The following is a 21,780-nucleotide window of genomic DNA, read 5'->3' as shown; positions in this document are numbered from 1 at the left end:
CTGTAGTCCCAGCTACTCGGGAGGCTGAGGCAGGAGAATGGCGTGAACCCGGGAGGCGGAGCTTGCAGTGAGCCGAGATCGCGCCACTGCACTCCAGCCTGGGCAACAGAGCGAGACTCCGTCTCAAAAAAAAAAAAAATGTTTTCATCATGAATGTGTATTGAGTTCTGTCAAATGCTTTTTCTGCATTAAAGTGATTATATAATTTTTGTTTGCTTGTTTGTTTGTTTGCTTTTTGAGACAGAGTTTTGCTCTTGTTGCCCAGGCTGGAGTGCAATGGCGCCATCTCGGCTCACTGGCAACCTCCGCCTCCTGGGTTTAAGCAATTCTCCTGCCTCAGCCTCCTGAGTAGCTGGGACTACAGTGCCCACCACCATGCCCGGCTAATTTTTGTATTTTTTAGTAGAGACAGGGTTTCACCATGTTGGCCAGACTGGTCCCAAACTCCTTACCTCAGGTGATCCACCGCCTTGGCCTCCCAAAGTGCTTGGATTACAGGTGTGAGCCACCGCGTCTGGCCCATATAATTTTTTATTTCGTTAATGTGGTATATTGATTTCTTATTGCTGCTGTAACAAACTACGACAGAGCTAGTGACTTAACACAAATTTACTGTATATTCAAAAGTACAAAATGAGGTTCTCTGGGCTATACTCAGGGTGTTAACAGGGCTGTGTTCTTTCCTGGAAGGTCTATGGGAGAATTAGTTTTTGTATTTTTTACAACTTCTAGAGGCTGCCTGCATTCCTTGGCTCATGGCCCCCATCCATCTTCATAACCACCAATGGCCAGTGGAGTCCTTCTCATACCACATCACTCTGATACTCTTCTGCCTCCCTCTTCCACACTTGGGTCCCTGTGATTACATGAGACCCAACTAGGTAATTCATGATAATCTGCATATTTTAAGGTTAGCTGATTAATTACATTGGCTACCTCAATTTCCCTTTGGCACCTTAATTTCCCTTTGACATGCAAGATAATTACAGGTTGCAGGGATTATTAGGGCATAGATATTTTTGGAGGGCTGTCGTTCACATGTGGTGAACTCTATTTTTTCTCAAATGTTATATCAACCTTGAATTCATATGAGATAAACCCCATATTGTCATGATGTATTAAGCTTGTTCTTTATTAATAGACTTAATTTGCTAATATTTTGTTAATGACTTTTGCATTTGTGTTCATGAGGAATATTTGTCCATAAATTTCTTTTTTAATAATGTCTTTGTCAGCTTTTGGTATCACGGTTTTGCCAGCCTAAAAGAAAAAGTTGAAAAGAATTCTCTTCTACTTTCTACATGAATTTAGTTATGGTTGGTATTATTTCTGTTTGTCTGTGTGTTTGTTTTTAAACAGCTTTATTGGGATGTAAATTTTAGATCATAAAATTCACTCTGTATAAGTGCACATTTTAATAATTTTTGTAAATTCTTAGAGTTGTACAGCCATCACCACAATCCAGTTTTAGAACATTTCAGTTACCCCAGAAAGCTTCCACATACCCACCCACAGCCCCAGGCAACCACTACTTTATAGATTTGCCTTCCTGACTTTATATAAATGGATTCATACAATATATAATCTTTTGGCTTCTTTTACTTAGTGTTTTTTTTTTTTTTTTGAGGTGGAGTCTCACTCTGTCGCCCAGGCTGGAGTGCAATGGCGCAATCTCAGCTCACTGCAACCTCTGCCTCTCAGGTTAAAGCGATTCTCCCGCCTCAGCCTCCCCAGTAGCTGGGATTACAGGCACCCACCATCATGCCCAGCTAATTTTTGTATTTTTGTAGAGATGGGATTTCACCATGTTAACCAGGCTAGTCTCAAACTCCTGACCTCAGGTGATCCACCTTGGCCTCCCAAAGTGCTGGGATTACAGGAATGAGCCACCACGCCCAGCCCTTAGTGTGTTTTAGTGTTTCATCCATGTTGTAGCATGTATGAGTACTTCATTCCTTTGTATTGCTATATAGTATTATTTGCATGGATATACTATTTTTTATTCATTTACCAGTTGATAAACATTTACATTTTGGCTATTATGAGTAATGCCACTATAGACATTCGAATGATGTCTTTATATCAACATACAAATGTGGATATATATTCTTACTTCTAGGTACCTAGCAGTAGAATTACTGTGTTGAATATATAAAGAACTCTTACCCTTTCATAATATGAAAATAAACAACCCAATTAAAAACTGCGCAGAAGGTTTGAATGTACATTTCACCAAAGAAAACATATGAATAGCTAATAAGCACATGAAAAGGTGCTCACTTTAGTCATTATGGAAATGCAAGTTAATACCACAATGCGTTATCAGTACACACCCACTAGAATGGTTATAATCTAAAAGACTAACAGCTATCAAGCATTGGTGAGGATGTGGTTAAATTGAAACCCTCAAATGTTGCTGATGAGAATATAAAATAGCTTAGCCACTTTGGAAAACAGCTTGGTATTTTTAAAAGTTAAACATAAACCCAGCAATTCCTGGGAAAGCACATTATTCCCGGTAAAGTGCAAAAACCAGCTCTGCATAAACCAAACCTACCCCAAGGACAACATATAAGTTACCTGGTAAGGTTCTCATTTACTGGTTGCAAATTTCATGTATGGTGTTGCCTTATATACTTCTTATAATACATGAAATCACACTATGTGTTGTTTGTGAATATGTATACATACAAAAATACGGTTGTCAAGTGTTAACACCATCACCAGGATAGCAGTTGTTTCTGCTAAAGAAATGGTGTGGGGGCCAGGTGCAGTGGCTCACGCCTGTAATCCAGCACTTTGGGAGGCCAAGGCAGGTGGATCACTTGAGGTCAGAAGTTCGAGACCAGCCTAGCCAACATGGTGAAACCATGTCTCTACTAAAAATACAAAAATTAGCCAAGTGTTAAACTAAAGGGCTTCTCCACAGCAAAAGAAACTGTCATCAGAGTGAACAGGCAACCTGCAGAATGTGAGAAAATTTTTGCAATCTACCCATCTAACAAAGATCTAATATCCAGAATCTACAAGGAACTTAAACAAATTTACAAGAAAAAAACAACCCCATCAAAAAGTGGGGAAAGAATATGAACAGACACTTCTCAAAAGAAGACATTTATGCAGCCAGCAAACATGAAAAAAAGCTCAGCATCACTGATCATTAAAGAAATGCAAATCAATCACAGTGAGGGCTGGGCATGGTGGCTCACGCCTGTAACCCCAGTACTTTGGGAGGCCAAGGTGGGCAGATCACTTGAGATCAGGAATTCAAGACCAACCTGGTCAACATGGTGAAACTCCATCTCTACAAAAATACAAAAATTAGCCAGGCATGGTGGTGCATGCCTGTAGGTCCAGCTACTCAAGAGGCTGAGGCAGGAGAATCATCTGAACCCAGGAGGCAGAGGTTGCAGTGAGGTGAGATCGCACCACTGCACTCCAGCCTGGGTGACCAGAGCAAGACTCCATCTCAAAAAAAAAAAAAAAAAAAAAAAAACACAAGTCAGAATGACGATTATTAAAAAGTCAAGAAACAATAGATGCTAGCGAGGCTGTGGAGAAATAGGAACGCTTTTACACTGTTGGTGGTAATGTAAATTAGTTCAACCATTGTGGAAGATAGCATGGTGATTCCTCAAGGATCTAGAACCAGAAATACCATTTGACCTAGCAATCCCATTACTAGGTATACGCTCAAAGGAATTTAAATCATTCTACTATAAAGACACATGCACACACGTTTATTGCAGCACTGTTTACAATAGCAAAGACATGGAACCAACCCAAATGCCCATCAATGATAGACTGGATAAAGAAAATGTGGCACATATACACCATGGAATACTATGCAGCCATGAAAAGGAATGAGATCACGTCCTTTGCAGGGACACAGATGAAGCCAGAAGCCATCATCCTCAGCAAACTAACACAGGAACAGAAAACCAAACACTGCATGTTCTCACTCATATGTGGGAGTTGAACAATGAGAACACAGGGACACAGGGAGGGGAACAACACACACTGAGGCCTGTCGCGGGGGTGGACGGAAAGATGAGGGAGAGCATTAGGACAAACAGCTAATGCATTTGGGGCTTAAAACCTAGATGATGGGTTGACAGGTGCGGCAAACCACCATGGCACATGTATACCTGTGTAACAAACCTGCACATTCTGCACATGTATTCCAGAACTCAAAGTAAGAAAAAAAAAGTTAAAAATAAAAAATTAGCCAGGCATGGTGGCGCACACTTGTAGTCCCAACTACTTGGGGAGGCTGAGGCATGAGAATTGCTTGAACTCGGGAGGTAGAGCTTGCAGTGAGCCAAGATTGCACCAGCCTGGGTGACACAGCCAGACTCCATCTCAAAAAAAAAAAAAAAAAAAAAAAGTGGATTAGAAAAGGCCACAAAAAAGTTTTTGGTAAGCTTTTTTTCCATACAAGTGTGAAGCATATATGATGAAATGTTGACATTTGTTAAATCCAAGAGAAAAAATCATCCATGCTACTATTTTTTAAAAAGAAGCTTTGCCTAACCCAGGGTCACAATTTTCTCCTATTTTTTTTTTCCTAGAAGTTTTTTGGCTTTGGTTCTTTATAGATGGCACTCTATTGCAAAAACAGCCCCATTCTGGTTGAAGGGACATATGATGGGTGGCCAGTTTCTGTGGCTCCAGTCTTGTTTGGAGCCCTGCAGACAAGGGGAGATGGCTCTCCTCCTGCTGGGCCCCCACTCCCTTTCCTGGGAATCTTAACTGCAGTAATGCATCATGGTCCCAGGACATCTTTACTACGCCAACACTAGTGTGAGCAGAGGTTACAAACTTTACTGTTTGGCCTGCGCAGTGTTGTTTTTTGTTTGTTTTAAGTTAATTGGTGCTAACATTTGAAAACCAGGAAAATGGCATTAAAAAATTGAGCAGCCAGCTTTTCCTGAGAAGCCCGTGAACACAGGGAGCCAAGTTTTAGTTCCTCCCTTTGGATGGGCTGGCTCTCCAAGTCACCCCACGCGTGCCCCTCTATTGTCTCCCAGACCCCGAGGCCAGGGTCAACTTCCTGCCCTGATGCCTTCCTACAGCTGCCCTCTTGGGTGGCTGAAGTTACATACGGAGTTCCATCTACAGCATTTTTATTGTCTTCCCTTTTCAGCATCTCACCTGGCCTTGTGACAGCCTTGATGAATTAGGATCATAGTCCACATTCTGCATATGAAGAAACTGCCCAAGGGCATACAGCTGCTAAGTGGCAAGCTGGCTTTGAGGCCCTACCTCTCCGCTCTCAGTCTCATTTCACTGGGCCTCACTGCCCTGGGCACTGGGGTTTCAAGCATTGGTGATACAAATTGCTAAGGGCACAGGTGTGTTACTAGTACTGCCATGCGCACTTGTCAGAGGTTCTTGGAGCAGGAAGGGAGCTGGCATCTGTGTCTTCTGTGCTGGCATCTTCAGGGAATAGCAGGAACTCAGTCTTCTAAGATGAGGGGTTTGCTTGATTAATGTATGATGAATGAATTAATAAATGGATAAACTGTCATTCTGAGTAGCCCATGTATGTTTAAGCATTAATCAAAATAAATTTTAACTGCAGAAATATTTTAGTGGAAGCATAAAAGAAGAGGAGAAAGGGCTGGCTTGCAATGTCCCAGAAACCATACCAGGGCTTCACCACCAAGGCTCTTTCATCCAAAGGCCCAACATTCAAGAGAAGACTTCCCGTGAAAAGCATAAACAATTATATTTACACCTGTGGGGTAAACTGGAGAGAATTTAAGGGGGCTTACATGTAAAAGTCATTGCATTTCTCTGCAATATGTAATTATGATGATGAAAATAAAATGCAAGTATTAAGAAATATTGCATTTATATGAAACTTCTAATACAATCTTTGCAAAAATATTTGATCAAAATCCTATGGCCCAGCACAGTGGCTCAAGCCTGTAATCCTAGCACTTTGGGAGGCCTAGGGTGGATTGCTTGGGCCCAGGAGTTCGAGACCAGCCTGGGCAACATAGGGAAACCCCATCTCTACAAAAAATTTAAAAAATTAGCCAGATGTGGTGGCAGACACCTGTAATCACAGCTACTCAGCAGGCTAAGGTGGGAGGATCACCTGAGGCCAGGATGCCTAAGCTGCAGTGAGCCGTGATTATGCCAATGCACTCCAACCTGGGCCACAGAGTGAGACCCTGTCTCCAAAGAAAGAAAGAGAAAAGGAAAGAAAGGAAGAAAGGGAGGGAGGGAGGGAGGAAGAGGGCCACAGAGTGAGACCCTGTCTCCAAAGAAAGAAAGAAAAAAGGAAAGAAAGGAAGAAAGGAAAGAAAGGAAGAAAGGGAGGGAGGGAGGGAGGGAGAAAGAGGGCCACAGAGTGAGCCCATGTCTCCAAAGGAAGAAAGAAAAAAGGAAAGAAAGGAAGAAAGGAAAGAAAGGAAAAAAGGGAGGGAGGGAGGGAGGGAGGGAGGGAGAAAGAGGGCCATAGAGTGAGACCCTGTCTCCAAAGAAAGAAAGAAAAAAGGAAAGAAAGGAAGAAAGGGAGGAAGGGAGGGAGGGGGAAAGAGGGAAGCAAGGAAGGAAGGAAGGAAGGAAGGAAGGGAGGGAGGGAGGGAGGGAGGGAGGGAGGGAGGGAAAGAGGGAAGAGAGAGAGAGACAGGGAGGGAGGGGAAGGGGGACGGAGGGAGGGACGGAGGGATGAAGGAAGGAAGGAAGGAAGGAGTTATCTTAAGCTTTCTAGCATGAAAATTCCTGATGTTTTTAGTGACAGTCTTTAAATTCTTCATAGTCCGTATTGATGAGAAGCTTTGGCAAAATAGTGTTAATTTTCTTTACAATATTTATTTGAAAATTCCAACAGTACAGATTGTATATAAAGACTCTAATTGAGATTCTTGTTTCATTGACAAATTGTTAAAATTCTTAACTGCCAGTGGTGGTAGCTCACACTTGTAATTCCAGCACTTTGGGACGCTGAGGCTGGCGGATTGCTTGAATCCCGAAGTTCAAAACCAGACTGGACAACATGGTAAAACCCCATCTCTACAAAAAAAAATATAAAAAATTAGCCAGGTGTGGTGGCACGTGCCTGAAGTCCCAGCTACTCAGGAGGCTGAGGTGGATCAGTTGAGCCCAGGAGGTGGAGGTTGCAGTAAGCCGTGACTGCACCACTGAACTCCAGCCTGGGTGACAGAGTGGGACTCTATAACCAAAAAAACAAAATCTTAGCAATATTATGGATAAATTTTGAATCTAATCAAATATTTTTAGATCCAGTGTTAAAAAATAATGAGAAATGCTAATTTGAAGAATTATATTTCTTGTTGGAGCAGGCACCCTGTAGCTTGGCATGAGAGGCAGCAGAGCATGCCAGCAGCAGACAGACATAATTGTCTGACACATCACTAGATAATAGTTTTGGCCTTGTTTGTAGTGTTTAAGTTTAGGTCAAGGATCCAAAATGCATCTTGAGATTTCAGAAAGACTCAGAAACTGTTGGATTGCTTTGTAAAAACAGATTTGGGACTGCTGTCTAGAGCTGTGCCCACCTGAGCTCTGTCTGGTCTCCCTGCAGAAGCCGCTCCTCCATCTCTCTTCTCACCCCAGTCCTAAGGAGCTGCACTTCGGCAGTGAGCAATTATCTTGGAGCACACAGAGCACCAGCTCCTCCAATAGTGCTATAGGCCCCTTGTCCACAGAGGACAGTAGCATACCCTGCAACTCTGCAGAGGAAATGGCTGAGTGGTCCAGCTTCTCCCTGATCATATGCAGCCAGCCCACGAGGCTGCATGTCAAGCATTGGGATTGTGACCTACAGAGACTGTAGTGTGCTTGTTCAAACCTGGTCTTCTTCCAAGAAGACCCAGGAGAAGAGCACTCACCATCCCAGGCTTGCCCTAAATGCTGTCCTAAATGCTGAGGGCTTCCAAAACCTCAGGGCCTAACTCTAACACAGGCAGAATGCTCTGATCTGTCAGATGCAGAACAATAGTTCTCCAAAATTCCAAAAAGTATGTCATGAATAAAAAAAATTAATATTACCTTGCTTGGGTAAGTTGATTTATTATCTCAGCCCATTTAAAGGCTAAGCTCTTACTTAGCCAGAATACCCAAAGCAACCCTAAGCAAAAAGAACAAAGCCAGAGGCATCACACTATCCAACTTCAAACTATACTACAAGGCTACAGTAACCAAAACAGCATGGTACAGGTGCAAAAACAGACACATAGACCAATGGAATAGAATAGAAAACTCAGAAATAAAGCCACATGCCTACAGCCATCTGATCTTCAACAAAGTCAACAAAAATAAACCATGGGGAAAGGACTTCCTATTCAACAAACGGTGCTGGGATAGCTGGCTAACCATATGCAGAAGATTGAAACTGGACCCTTACCTTTCATTGTATACAAAAATTAACTCAAGATGGAGTAAAGAGTTAAATGTAAAATTTCAGATTATAAGAAACCTAGAAGAAAGCCTAGGAAACACCATTCTGGACATCAGCCTAGGCAAAAAATTTATGACTAAGTCCCCAAAAGCAACGGCAACAAAAACAAAAATTGACAAGTGGGACCTAATTAAACTAAAGAACTTCTGCACAGCAAAAGAAACTTTCTACAGAGTAAACAAAATGGGAGAACATATCCTCAAACTAAACAATCTGACAAAGATTTAATATCCAGAATCTATAAGGAACTTAAACAACTCAACAAGCAAAAAGCAAACAACCCCATTAAACAGTGAGCAAAAGAGATGAACAGACACTTCTCAAAAGAAGACATACAAGCAGTCAACAAATATATGAAAAAATGCTCAACATCACTAATTATCAGAGAAATGCAAAAGAAAACCATACTGAGATAACCATCTCCTATCAGTCAGAATGGCTATTATCAAAAAGTCAAAAAAACAACAGATGCTGGTGTGGTCGCAGAGAAAAGGGAATGCTTTATACACTGTTGGTGAGAATATAAATTAGTACAGCCACTGTGGAAAACAGTTTGGAGATTTCTCAATGAACTTAAAACAGAACTACCATTTGACCCAGCAATTCCATTACTAGGTATATATATAAAAGAAAATAAATCATTCCACCAAAAAGACACATAAACTCATACGTTCAGCATTACACCATTCACAATAACAAAGACATAGAATCAACCCAGGTGCCCATCAATAGCGGATTAGATAAAGAAAATGTGGTACATATACACCATGGAATACTACATAGCCATAGAAAAGAATGAAATCATGTCCTTTGCAGCAACATGGATGCAGCCAGAGGCCATTATCCTAAGCAAGATAAGGCAGGAACAGAAAACCAAATACTGTATGTTCTCTCTTACAAGTGAGAGCTAGACATTGGGTAGTAACGGACATAAAGATGGCAACAATAGACACTGGGGATAGAAAGAGGAAGAAGGGAGGGGAGCAAGGGTTGAAAAACTGTCTATTGGATACTATGCTCACTACCTGGGTATTGGGATCATTCATATCCCAAACCTCAGCATCATGCAGTACACCCATGTAACAAACCTGCACGTGCACCCCCTGAATTTAAAATAAAAGTTGAAATTATTTTTTAAAAAAAGACTAAGTTCTTAGAGTCAAGACTGACATTAAGCACAAATACTGCCTCCTGTAAACAAGTGAATGTTCGCAGGGAACCAACATGACCAGGCATGAGATAAAACATAAGTAGGCCTCTAAATTCTTAACCTGGAGTCCACAGACACTTCCCAAGGATCCAAGGATACAATTTAGGGTTCCATGAACTTGGGTGGGAAAAACTGACATCCTTATTTTCAATAACCTCTGACTGAAATGTACTTTTCTTCCATTATGAGTATAGGCCACAGTGCTAGCAGTACCTTTAGCTTTATTCCAATAGAAATCACAGATATTTTCATAGCTCATTACAATTGTGATGGACATATTAAAACATTACTTTCATATGTCCCCACTTCAAAAGCATGGTAGGTGATAGACCTGCCACTCAGTCTTGTTATTTAATGAGTTAACAAAGAAGTGCATATAATACTACATCACAAATTTGTTTTTTCTTAGGTTTTCATAACTGAATGATGATATTTTATTTTCCATTTAATGCTTTGTATCTTTTGTTGTTGTTGCTGTTGTTGTTGTTGTTGTTGAGACAGAGTCTCGCTCTGTTGCCCAGGCTGGAGTGCAGTGGCACGATCTCAGCTCACTGCAAGCTCCGCCTCCTGGGTCCACGCCATTCTCCTGCCTCAGCCTCCCAAGTAGCTGGGACTACAGGTGCCCGCCACCATGCCCAGCTAATTTTTTGTATTTTTAGTAAAGACGGGGTTTCACCATGTTAGTCAGGATGGTCTCGATCTCCTGACCTCATGATCCACCTGCCTCGGTCTCCCAAAGCGCTGGGATTACAGGCGTGAGCCACCACACCCGGCCTTTGTATCTTACTTTATGCACTTAGTCATTATTCTGAGGGGTCCATAGGCTCCTCAACTCTGCCAGAGGCATCCCTGACACACAGAAGGTAAAGAACCTCTAAGTACCTAAGCCACCAGCTCCCATTCCATTTGGGAAGCAACAGAGGAGGCTGAGGCAAGATGCTTGCCAGTGGGAGGGAGAGAGGGCACTCCTAATCCCATTCAGAGGCTGACCTGGCTCTGGGGAATTTGACTTGCTGTGTTTTCCATTCTGTTTTGGCATATTCTTAAAAAACACTTGATGTGATTTGGTTGTGTCTCTGCCCAAATCTCATCTTAAATTCCCACGTTGTGGGAGGGACCCAGTGGGAGGTGGTTGAATCATGGGGGCAGGTCTTTCTTGTGCTGTTCTCATGACAGCACAGAATAAGTCTGTGATGAATAAGTCTCATGAGATCTGATGTTTTTAACAAGGGGAGTTTCTCTGCACAGGCTCTCTTTTTGCCTGCTGCCCTCCATGTAAGATGTGACTTGCTCCTTCTTGCCTTCTGCCATGATTGTGAGGCTTTCCCAGCCAAGTGGAACTGTAAGTCCATTACACCTCTTCTGTAAATCGCCCAGTCTCAGGCATGTCTTTATCAGCAGCATGAAAACAGACTAATACAGTAAATTGGTACCAGTAGAGTGGGGTGTTGCTGAAAAGATACCTGAAAATGTGGAAGCGACTTTGGAACTGGGTAGCAGGCAGAGGTTGGAACAGCTTGGAGGGCTCAGAAGAAGACAGGAAAATGTGGGAAAGTTTGGAACTTCCTAGAGACTTGTTGAATGGCTTTGACCAAAATGCTGATAACTATATGGACAATGAAATCCAGGCTGATCTGGTTTCAGATGGAGATGAGGAACTTGTTGGGAACTGGAGCAAAGGTGGCTCTTGCTATGTTTTAGCAGAGACTGGTGGCATTTTGCCCCTACTCCAGAGATTTGTGGAATTTTGAACTTGAGGGAGATGATTTAGGGTATCTGGCAGAAGAAATTTCTAAGCAGCAAAGCATTCAACAGGTGACTTGGGTGCTGTTAAAAGCATTGTTTTAAATGAGAAACAGAGCATAAAAGTTTGGAAAATCTGCAGCCTGACAATGCAATAGAACAGCAAATCCCACTTTCTGAGGAGAAATTCAAGCCAGCTGCAGAAATTTGCATAAGTAATGAGGAGCCGAATGTTAATCCCCAAGACAATGGGGAAAATATCTCCAGGGCATTTCAGAGGTCTTCACAGCAGCCTCTCCCATCACAGGCCTGGAGGCCTAGGAAGAAAAAATGGTTTCATGGGCCAGGCCCAGGGTCCCCATGCTGTGTGCAGCCTAGGAACTTGGTGCCCTGTGTCCCAGCCACTCCAGCTGTGGCTGAAAGTGGCCAACGTAGAGCTCAGGCCATAGCTTCAGAGGGTGCAAGTCCCAAACCTTAGCAGATTCCATGTGGTGTTAGTCCTGCAAGTGTGTAGAAGACAAGAATTGAGGTTTGGGAACCTCCACCTAGATTTCAGAGGGTGTATAGAAACGCTTGCATATCCAGGCAGAAGTTTGCTGCAGAGGTTGGGTCTTCATGCAGAACCTCTGCTAGGGCAGTGCGAAAGGGAAATGTGGGGTCAGAGCCCCCACACAGAGTCCCCACTAGGGTAGTGCCTGGTGGAACTGTGAGAAGAGGGCCATTGTCCTCCAGACCCCAGAACGGTAGATCCACCGACAGCTTGCACCGTGCACCTGGAAAAGCCACAGTCTCTCAATGCCAGCCCATGAAAGCAGCTGGGAGAGAGGCTGTACCATGCAAAGCCACAGGAGTGGAGCTGTGCAAGACCATGGGAAGCCACCTTTTGCATCAGCGTGACCTGGATGTGAGACATGGGGTCAAAAGAGATCATTTTGGAGCTTTAAGATTTGACTGCCCCGCTGGATTTCGGACTTGCATGGGGCCTGCAGCCCCCTTGTTTTGGCCAATTTCTCCCATTTGGAATGGGTATATTTACCCAACGCCTGTATCCCTATTGTATCTGAGAAGTAATTAACTCACTTTCGATTTTACAGGCTCATCGGCTCAGATTTGCCTTGTCTCAGATGAGACTTTGGACTATGGACTTTTGAGTTAATGCTGAAATAAGTTAAGACTTTTGGAGATTGTTGGGAAGGCATGATTGGTTTTGAAATGTGAGGACACAAGATATGTGAGAGTCCAGGGGTGGAATGATGTGGTTTGGCTGGGGCCCCACCCAAATTTCACCTGAATTCCCACGTGTTGTGGGAGGAATCTGGTGGAAGGTGGTTGAATCATGGGGGCAGGTCTTTCTCACGCTGTTCTCGTGATGGTGAATAAGTCTCGCAAGATCTGATGGTTTAAAAAGGGGAGTTTCTCTGCACAGGATCTCTTTATGCCTGCTGCCCTCCATGTAAGATGTGACTTGCTCCTCCTTGCCTTCCGCCATGATTGTGAGGTTTCAGCCACGTGGAACTGTAAGTCTATTACACCTCTTTCTCTTGTAAATCACCCAGTCTCAGGTATGTCTTTATCAGCAGCATGAAAATGGACTAATAAAACACTTAATACTTCAAATATTTTGGATCTCTGGAAAACAGCTTGAGAAATGTGGATTTAAGGAATGACTTTGCCTGGGGAAGCGTCTGGAATTGCTTGGTGTTGTTAAACAATGGGTTAATGTTAAACCTTTTTGGAGCAAAATAAACAGATCAGGTGATGCCTTCTTAGTCTACAAGCCATAGCTCATGCAGGAGGTAGCAGGTTGAACATATCACCAATCTGGAACCTTTCCTGTCCTTTGCCCATGGTCCAGAATTTATTAATATGAACAGGCTACTGCTGGGGTTCCATGCTGGGCTGAGGGGCCTGTCTTCCAGAAAAGGGGATCCTTGGGGAAGCACTGAGCTCCTGCCCCAGCCACTGCCCTGTTGGGTTACACAGGAACCTGCAGGGTTGCAGTGCATGCTCCTGTTGGGACCAAGGGCTATGCTTGCCTGTGGCTGAAGAAACTAACTGGGAGATAACACTTCCGGTCTTGTTTGTTGTATTTTATTTAAGTTGGGGATCTGAAACACATGTCCTAGGTCGCAGAAAAGTCAGGGACTGGTGGGCTGTTTGGGTTTATGCTATACATCAATGGCAAGACAAATCCAAGAGCTGGCCCACTGAGAGGCCCCCATTACCTCCCAAAGCTGGTGCCACAGAAATCAGGACAGCTCTGGGAACTGATGATTAGCCCATCCACAGTGGATGCCTGTCAAAGGGATAGCCACTCCAGAAAAGGACTAGGAAGACTAGTTTCAAAGAGTATCTTAGCTCATCTGTTTCTCATAGCCAAAGAAATAAAGCAGGTTTAGGTAATGTACTTGGCTTTTCTTTCTTTACTTTGCCCAGTCATGCTTGTAGAGATACTGAGGGACTTGCTAAGCAGTCTTAGGGCAGAACTTCAATATGCTCATATTCCACATCAGTGGTCTGTAACCCTCTAAAGTGTTTGTAAACAGTCCTCCTCTAAGCACTGAGGTTAGCGCCAAGCATTCCTGCAGCTTCTCCTTAGAATACACTTAGCCAAGACACTGCCTGGCTGATGAGTGGCCTTTGCTGCCTGCAACCTCGCCTAACAGGAAGCAGCACCAAGACTGAACTCCCACCCGGAAGAGCAGGAACCCCTGCGGTGTGCAGGCCCCTGGCCCTCTGCCCCACAATATTGCACAGTGCAGAGCCACCCCACACCACAAGCAATGATTAACAGAGCTTGAACATCCACTCTCTCCAAGAAAGGTACCGTTACTCCTGTGAACTGAGAGTTGAAAATAGAAAACTTTAGAATAGCTTGTGCTATATGTGTTGTGGTATTCCCTTAATATAAACTTGATATTTTTAAGGAGCTGCCATGCATCAGAGGCTTTTTTTTTTTTTTTTGGTAACAGTGATTAAGATATAATTTACATACTATATAATTCACCCATTTAAAGTACACAATTCAGTTGTTTTTAGTTGTTATATTCAGAGTTGTGCAACCATCACAATCAATTTTAGAACATTTTCATCTCAAAAAGAAACCCCATACCCTTTAGTCTTCACCTCCCAATCCTCCTATCCCCACCCCATTTCCCACCCCAACCTTCCGCCGCCAATCCCTAGCAACTACCAATCTATTTTCTATCTCTACAGATTTGTCAATTCTGGGCAATTCATGTAAATGGAGTCATACAATATGTGATTTTTTTTTTTTTTGCTTTCTTCCTGTTTTCAAGGTTCATCCATGCTGTGGCATCAGTAGTATAATACTTCATTCAAATCTTTTTGCTCCCAAATAACATTCCATTACATGGATATACATTTTGTTTATTCATTCATCAATGATGGATATTTAGGTTGCTTCCACTTTGGTGTTATTGTGAATAATGTTGCTAAGATCATTTGTGTACAAATTTTTGTGTGGATATATTTTCATTTTTCTTGAGCATATATTTAGGATTGGTATTGCTGGGTAATATGGTAACTCTTTTTGAGGAACTGCCAAACTGTCTTCCAGAGTGACTGCACTATTTTACATTCCCATCAGCAACATATGAGTGTTCCAATTTCTCCACATCATCTTCAACACTTGTGATTGTCCATTTTTTTTTTATTATAGTGGATGTGTAATGGTATCTTATTTTGATTTTGATTTGCATTTCTCTGATGACTAATGATGTTGAACATCTTTTCATTTGCTTAATAGCCATCTGTACATCTTTGGAGAAATGTCTATTCCAATCTTTTGTCCATTTTTGAACTGAATTGTCTTTTTATTATTGAAAAGCTTAAATTTTGAATGACTATTCAACTGCACTTTAAAATTCAGCCCCAGAAGGGAGAGGTTGGACTCCTCCAATTTTATGTCTCTCCCCAGGAAATGGGATACCATTCTGGGACAACTCTAGTCCCTAAAGCTATGGTTTTTAATCTCTTTTTGATTCACAGACACCTTCAAGATTCTAATGAAAATTATGAACCTTCTCCCCAGAAAAATGCACAATGCACATTTTTTGCATTTAATATTATTATATTACTATTATTAACATTAATAAATGTTTTGCATTTAATATCAAGGAGTTTTAGACCTTCCCCTATCAACTACTGCCTTACGTTCTTTTTGTAAGAGGAGTGCAAAAGTTCTTCTGACTGGATGATTGTCAAATAATTGAACCTGGTCTTAATGGGCAACATAAAATTCCCAAATTCTAGTTCCTCACAGAGAGGGAAAAAAAAAAAGATGTGAATTGTATGTCTGAATTATCAAAATTGCACTGCGGAGAAATAGCTTTTACAAAAGATTGGTTTAAAGCAGTCTATCATCCCTCTAAATTTTCCCTTTTCAGGCCATGAGAGCTTTACGCAATCATGTTTGTGGCCCTCTCAGAACAGTTTCCTCTGAATTTGGATGTCAGCCTTATGCCATCAACCCACAGTGAAGCATACTGTGGGGGGAGCTGTGCAGATTATTATTACCAGTTATGAAAATGTTGGACTTCTCTTCTGGATACTCACATACTTTACAAAACGCTTATTCAAACACACAAAAAAAATCTGTGCTTTTCTTAAGTCTATGATTTTTTTTTTTTTTTATCTTATGGGCACCATAAAACTTTTAGGTAAATGTTTTCTCCTCTGCTTTTCCCCCTCTGAAGCTCAGAGGTAACTTGGCTGCCTTCCTCTAGCAACTGGACTGGACAACTAGATTCATTAGTGAATCAATGTTTACAGCCCTCATTTTCCCTCTGCCCCGATTCTGTTTGTTACTTTTTGATGCATTTATACTATTTCAAACTGTTTTGGGACAAGCTGACACATTTCTAACTTTTTCTACATTTCAGTGCTGTTCATGACAACTGTTTGCTTAACGTATGTTCTCATGCCATAGAGCTTATTTTATAATTATCTTTCTTATCTGCAACTTTTAGGTACTGGACTCGAGTGTTTTGCAAACAGAAAATCATCACCCACAGTTTACCAGGTGTTATGTGTATGTAAGAGAGAGAAGGTAAGAATTGTTTGGGTTTAAGCAGATGTCACAGAAACAGAGTGTTGTAGTATTTTTTCTACACTTGTTGAGATCAAATGAGTCTGCAAGGGAAGGTAATGTCCAGCCCACAGTGGGAAGTCAACTTTGCCCTCTTCAGCTAAAATCTGCGTAGGAATCCAGATGAAAATTCATGGGAATCCAGGACAAGAAGAATGAGATGACTTGCCCAATAAAACATTATCTGTAAACACCAGATGTAGACTACAAATCCCTAATCTTTTCATCTCATTTGGGTACCCTGATCACGGACAGATTTTGGAAAATGTGTGTTAAGACACTAACTCAGATTTAGTCTTGACACATTTTAATATTTGGTATTAATATATCTTTTTGAAAAATGGTGAGACATTAAATTACAGTCAAATGTTCTGACAAATTTGGACAACCCATTAACTATTAGATACTTCAGCTTTAAAAAACAGTATAATTTAAGGAAATACATAGTACCTCATGATTCCTTAAGTATTTCCGGTGACTACAGAGTCTGTCATTGTTCCTCCTAGTCAACACGTAGTACAAACGTTTCAGAAACGGGCTGCAGTCTACAGATTTTAAGCTGAAGCTTGGGACTGTCTAAAACTCAGAAATCTCCTGAATGTAACAGCAATGCACATAGGTACAGTACTTAAAACTGCAAAGCCCTTTCAAATATATATTTTCAGTAAATCTTCTCGACCCCATTAGATATTATTTCAGTTTTACTGATAAATACAATGAAGCCTTGAATGGTAGTGATTTTCATCCACCCAATATTTGCTTAGGATCTGTTATGTGTTAGGCAGCATGCTGACTGAGGATGTAGGCAGGACTTAGCCCCTGAAAGACAGAAATCAAAGCGGATAGCAAAGTCTGGTCAGAGCCACACACAGGGTGCCATGACAGCAATGAGGAGAAACGTTCCCTGACATGGGTCAGGGGATATGGGAAAGCTTTGCCAAGCCAGATAAAGTAGCCAAGTAAAGGGGGAGTTTTAGGAGCACATGACAGGGTGTGGGAAGAGGAGACAAACTGAAGGACAGCATGCACACCAACACAAAAGAAACGATGTGGTGCACCTCAGGAATGGCATTTTCCATTGGTTCAAACTAGCTGAGCCTCTCCTAAGTGTTGGGCTTGTGCTGGGTGATGAGGATCCCACCATGAACCAGAGAAGCAAAGTCCTTGCCCTCAAGGAGTTTTAATTCTAAAGACAGAAATAGACAGTACAAACATAAATCAAGTAATGAAATGATTTCAGATAGTAGTGAGCACTATGAAGCAAGTAACACAGGCCAATGAGCTAGAGAAATGGGGAGAAACAGGTTTGGGAGGCAGCAATCAAAGAAGGCTTGCTCAGGAGAGGATGCCAGAGTGCAGGTCTGCAAGGGGGAAAACGCCAATCAAAGGTGAGGTAAGAGAAAGGGAATATTCAGGGTAAACTGCAAATGAAAGACCCGAACAGGTTAAAGCTTGCTGCACTCAATAAACAGAAAGGACGCCAGCATGGGTGGAGCACAGTAAAGGATGATGCAATGGGTGATTAGGCCCAGATTATTGACACTCTGTAGGCTATACTAATTCATTTGGATTTTATTCTGAGTGCAGTAAGAAGCCTTGGGGCTGGGTGCAGTGGCTCACGCTTATAACCCAGCACTTTGGGAAGCTCAGGCGGGTGGATCACTTGAGGTCAGGAGTTCGAGATCAGCCTGACCAACATGGTGAAACCCTGTTCCTACTAAAAATACAAAAATTAGCTGGGCCTGGTGGCATGCGCCTGTAATCCCAGCTACTCGGGAAGCTAAGGCAGGAGAATCACTTGAGCCCGGGAGGTGGAGGTTGCAGAGAGCCGAGATCCTGCCACTGTACTGCAGCTTGGGCGACAGAGTGAGACTCTGTCTCAATAAAAAAAAAAAGAGAAGCCTTGGAAGAGTCTGAAGGGAAGCAGTGGTGACACTGTTTCATTTACATTTCTAAAGGATAACTCCAGAAGCTCCCTGAATTACTGGTGTGAGTACTATCAGTTAGGAGGCTACTGCCAGAATCAGGGTGAGAGAGAAGTAGTCTGGATCAGGTGGTAGAAGTGCAGGAGGGAAACGGTTGGGTCTGAGATAAGATTCTGGGGGAAGAAATGACAGGACCTCCCAAATGACTGGATATGCGGATGTGGGTAAGGAAGGAATTATAAGTAACTCCTAGGAACTGGCAAACATAATGCTATGTCCTGATATGGAATCTTAGCAAGAGGGAGAATAAAGAGTTCTCTCTTGGAAACAAGATGTTTGTCAGATATCCAAGTGAAGACATCGCATAAGCAGCTAGGTATCTAAGACAGCAGCTCTGGGGAGAGGTCAAGATTAGTAATAAATGTAAGGGTCACTGGCCTATAGGTGGTATTAAGAGCTTGAGAATGGAATGGAAACTTCTAGGGAAGAGAATGCTGAGGGAGAAAACCCATGACAGAGCTCTAGGGGGCCCTCTGACTTAGAGGTTAGAAGAGGAAAAGCCATGAGATGGAGTGGAGGATGAGGTAGAGAGGAAACCAGAAGTTCCAGGTCACAGAAGCCAAGAGAGAGTCCAACTGTGCTGAATGATGCTCAGACACTGATTAGGTCACTGGTGAACTCAAGAGCAAGAAAGCAGTCTGGGGATGGAAGTGGTGTTGGAGAGGGTTAGGAAGAGAACTACGGTGGGGCGGGGTGAGGAACTGGAAAGAGTCACTGCAGACAACTCTTTCCAGAAGTGTTTGGGTGAAGGGAAGCAAACATACAGAGCAGTAAAAGAGAGGCATTAAAAAAAACTGAGGTTTTATTTAAAAAGGGGAAATAACAGGATGTTTTACGCTGATGGGAAAGATCCACTACAGAAAGAGGGTTCACAGAGGCCACACCCTTGAGCTGGCAAGTACACTACACTGACCTTTCTCATCTGTAACTGCACATTCTAGTTCCTTTGCTAGATCTATTTCCTGTGATCCTCAGATGCTGGCATCTTTCAGGGCCCCAAACCCAGCCTCCTGCTCCTCTCTCTCTCCACAGCCTCCCTGGTGGATCTTATCAACTCCCATCGTTTCAAATGCCTGCGGCACATCAACATCCAGATCTTTGTCTCCCATCTAAACTTGTCCTCAGCAGTGCAGACGATGAACATTTATTTCCAATGGATATTCCATGGGCACCGTGCATGACAGCCAGTCCCTTGCCCTCCCTGCCTCTCTCCTCTGCATGAGTGTTGAGCAAGAGAGGACTGCTTGATAAGGTTCTTTAGCACACCCCCCCCTTATTCACTACCAGCCTGACTTTACACACTACCAGCCCCTTGGCTAGGAGGGGCTACCAGCCCAGTAAATAACAAGCCCCGTTGGCTGGTAAGTGGCAAAACCAGTCTATCGATCCAGGTATGTTTGACCCCTAAATCCATGCTTCTACACATTTCCCCTAAAGAAAGTTCCTGCAGTTACTTTATTTTCAACATGTATCATAAAATCCTTATTTCAATTAGTACATAGCTATTCACATTTAAGTCAGCAAGGTAAGTATCACTTTATGATAATAAATATTCGTATGAGAAAAAAGTCTAGCAAAGTGGTTTATTCTTTCAACTTATTGCTGGAAGAAGTCCTTTAAACAAACCAGTGCAGAGAAAATGCCTATCAAAAGTATCAGTTTTTCAGCTTTCTTCACCACTGCTTTAGATGTATCATTTTTATAATTTTATCTCTTCATGTTTTTAAAGAGCTGCTACTTCAGATGACAGTAACTCTTTGGTGTTTATTTTTATTTCCAAGATAGTGATTTTTTTAAGAGGCTACTTTAAGGCTGTGAATTGTCTCACTGTCTTTTCACTCTCTCTTTTTAGTTCTTCAATATGGGCATCCAAGCGCTCTAGAATGTGATGAGACCTCAGTTCCTCCTCTTCCAAAAATCTGGTAGCTATTGAACCAAGGGGAGATACAGGCAAGGAACACTGGAAGAGACACAAATTTTGACATGTGTAAATAAGTAGAATATTATATTTCTAAGATACACTGTTCATGACATTTTCTAACTAGCAATATTAAAAGGTGATTTTTTTCCTCTGAAGATACTTTTTTGGTTTTCATCCTAATGACAAGAGCAATAAAAGAACAAAAATCAGTAAGTTCTGCAAAAATTAACACAGATCTCTCCGTTTCTGACCCAAATTGTAACAATGTAAAGTATCATATATTAGTTATTGGTCTGAAGAATGTTTCAATTTAGACTTATATATGCTTCCATAGTTAATGCCTATTATTTCAAACTCACTTTAAAAACCTAAGTATGTCACTTTTATTTTAAAGCACAAAAATTTAACAAAAATAAATTAGATGCCAGCTAAAATCAATTATTTTTTCTCCTCCAAATTTTCAGTCCACAGTCCCTTATCTGAAACCCTTGAGGCTAGTGATATTTCAGAATTCTGATTTTAGAAAGGTAACATAGAACATATGCCATATGCAGTCAATACTCATTCACAATAGCAGTAGTTGTGTTCTATAAAGTCACCCAAAACACTGAATTAGCAAACACAGAATTTTTGGCCCAGGGAAAATACACACATACAACAAATACACACACACACACATACACACATACCCCACACAGAGAGCATAATCCTAAATCCTAGAACAAATCATTCTGGTAGATTCTGTATTTTTTATTTCACATGAGAGACATGAGGTTCAGAAGTGGTAACTCTCCTGAGGCTGCCCCACTAACTGGTGCTGAAGCTGGGATTCAGACTCTATCCAGCTGGCATGGAGCTGAGCTTCTTTCCCTACACTGCGCTGTCCCGTCCATCTCCACCCTATGGTCACCTCCGCATAAGCAGGGGCAACAAGGCAGAGTGCTGCCTACTTCGACCTTGGCTGGGATTGTGCAAGTCGGTCACTCAAATTTTTTGTCACTCTGCATATGTCCACGAATTACTGTGGAAGTGCTGCGCATACTGATTTGGGAGTTACAGATAAAGTTTAGGGAGTAGACAAATTCACAAATACAAAATCTGTGAATAATGAGGATCAACTGTATTACCCCAGTGGAGTCTGAGGGAACATCCCATCACCAAACACACTGATATTTCTGAAGCAAAACACATGGATACTCACACTAAGTGGAATAGAGAAAGTCTATACATACTAACACATCAGTTCAGGCCAGGGAAAGTTCTGGTGCCAAAAAAATTTTGCTGCTAAACTTAGGAAGAAAGTGAAGTGAGGACTTATTTTGAAAAATAAAAGAAAACCTTTCCATGGACTTGGTAGCACATTAATAAGTCAGAAAT

The 21,780-nt window shown here is 42.1% G+C and overlaps 1 protein-coding gene across 59 annotated transcripts in view; it reads right to left on the bottom strand.

The window, feature by feature from the left end:
• Nucleotides 1-21,780, bottom strand: part of CEP63 (centrosomal protein 63) — a 296,836-nt gene that overhangs the window by 200,741 nt on the left and 74,315 nt on the right. For 39 of the 59 annotated variants that reach the window (NR_148354.2, NR_148352.2, NR_148353.2 and 36 more), the window contains one exon: nucleotides 16,788-20,442. The exons of 8 other annotated variants lie outside the window; for them this stretch is intronic. Coding sequence is in view for 47 of the 51 variants with exons in the window: in XM_006713760.5 (XP_006713823.1) it covers nucleotides 20,284-20,442 (159 nt within the window). In the remaining 4 variants the exon portion in view is untranslated. 59 annotated transcript variants of the gene reach the window in all.

Source organism: Homo sapiens, chromosome 3 (assembly GCF_000001405.40).
Source record: "Homo sapiens chromosome 3, GRCh38.p14 Primary Assembly".
Taxonomy (NCBI): Eukaryota; Metazoa; Chordata; class Mammalia; order Primates; family Hominidae; genus Homo; species Homo sapiens.
Note: the sequence above shows the minus strand (reverse complement) of the source record. Positions and strands in the feature narration are given on the sequence as shown.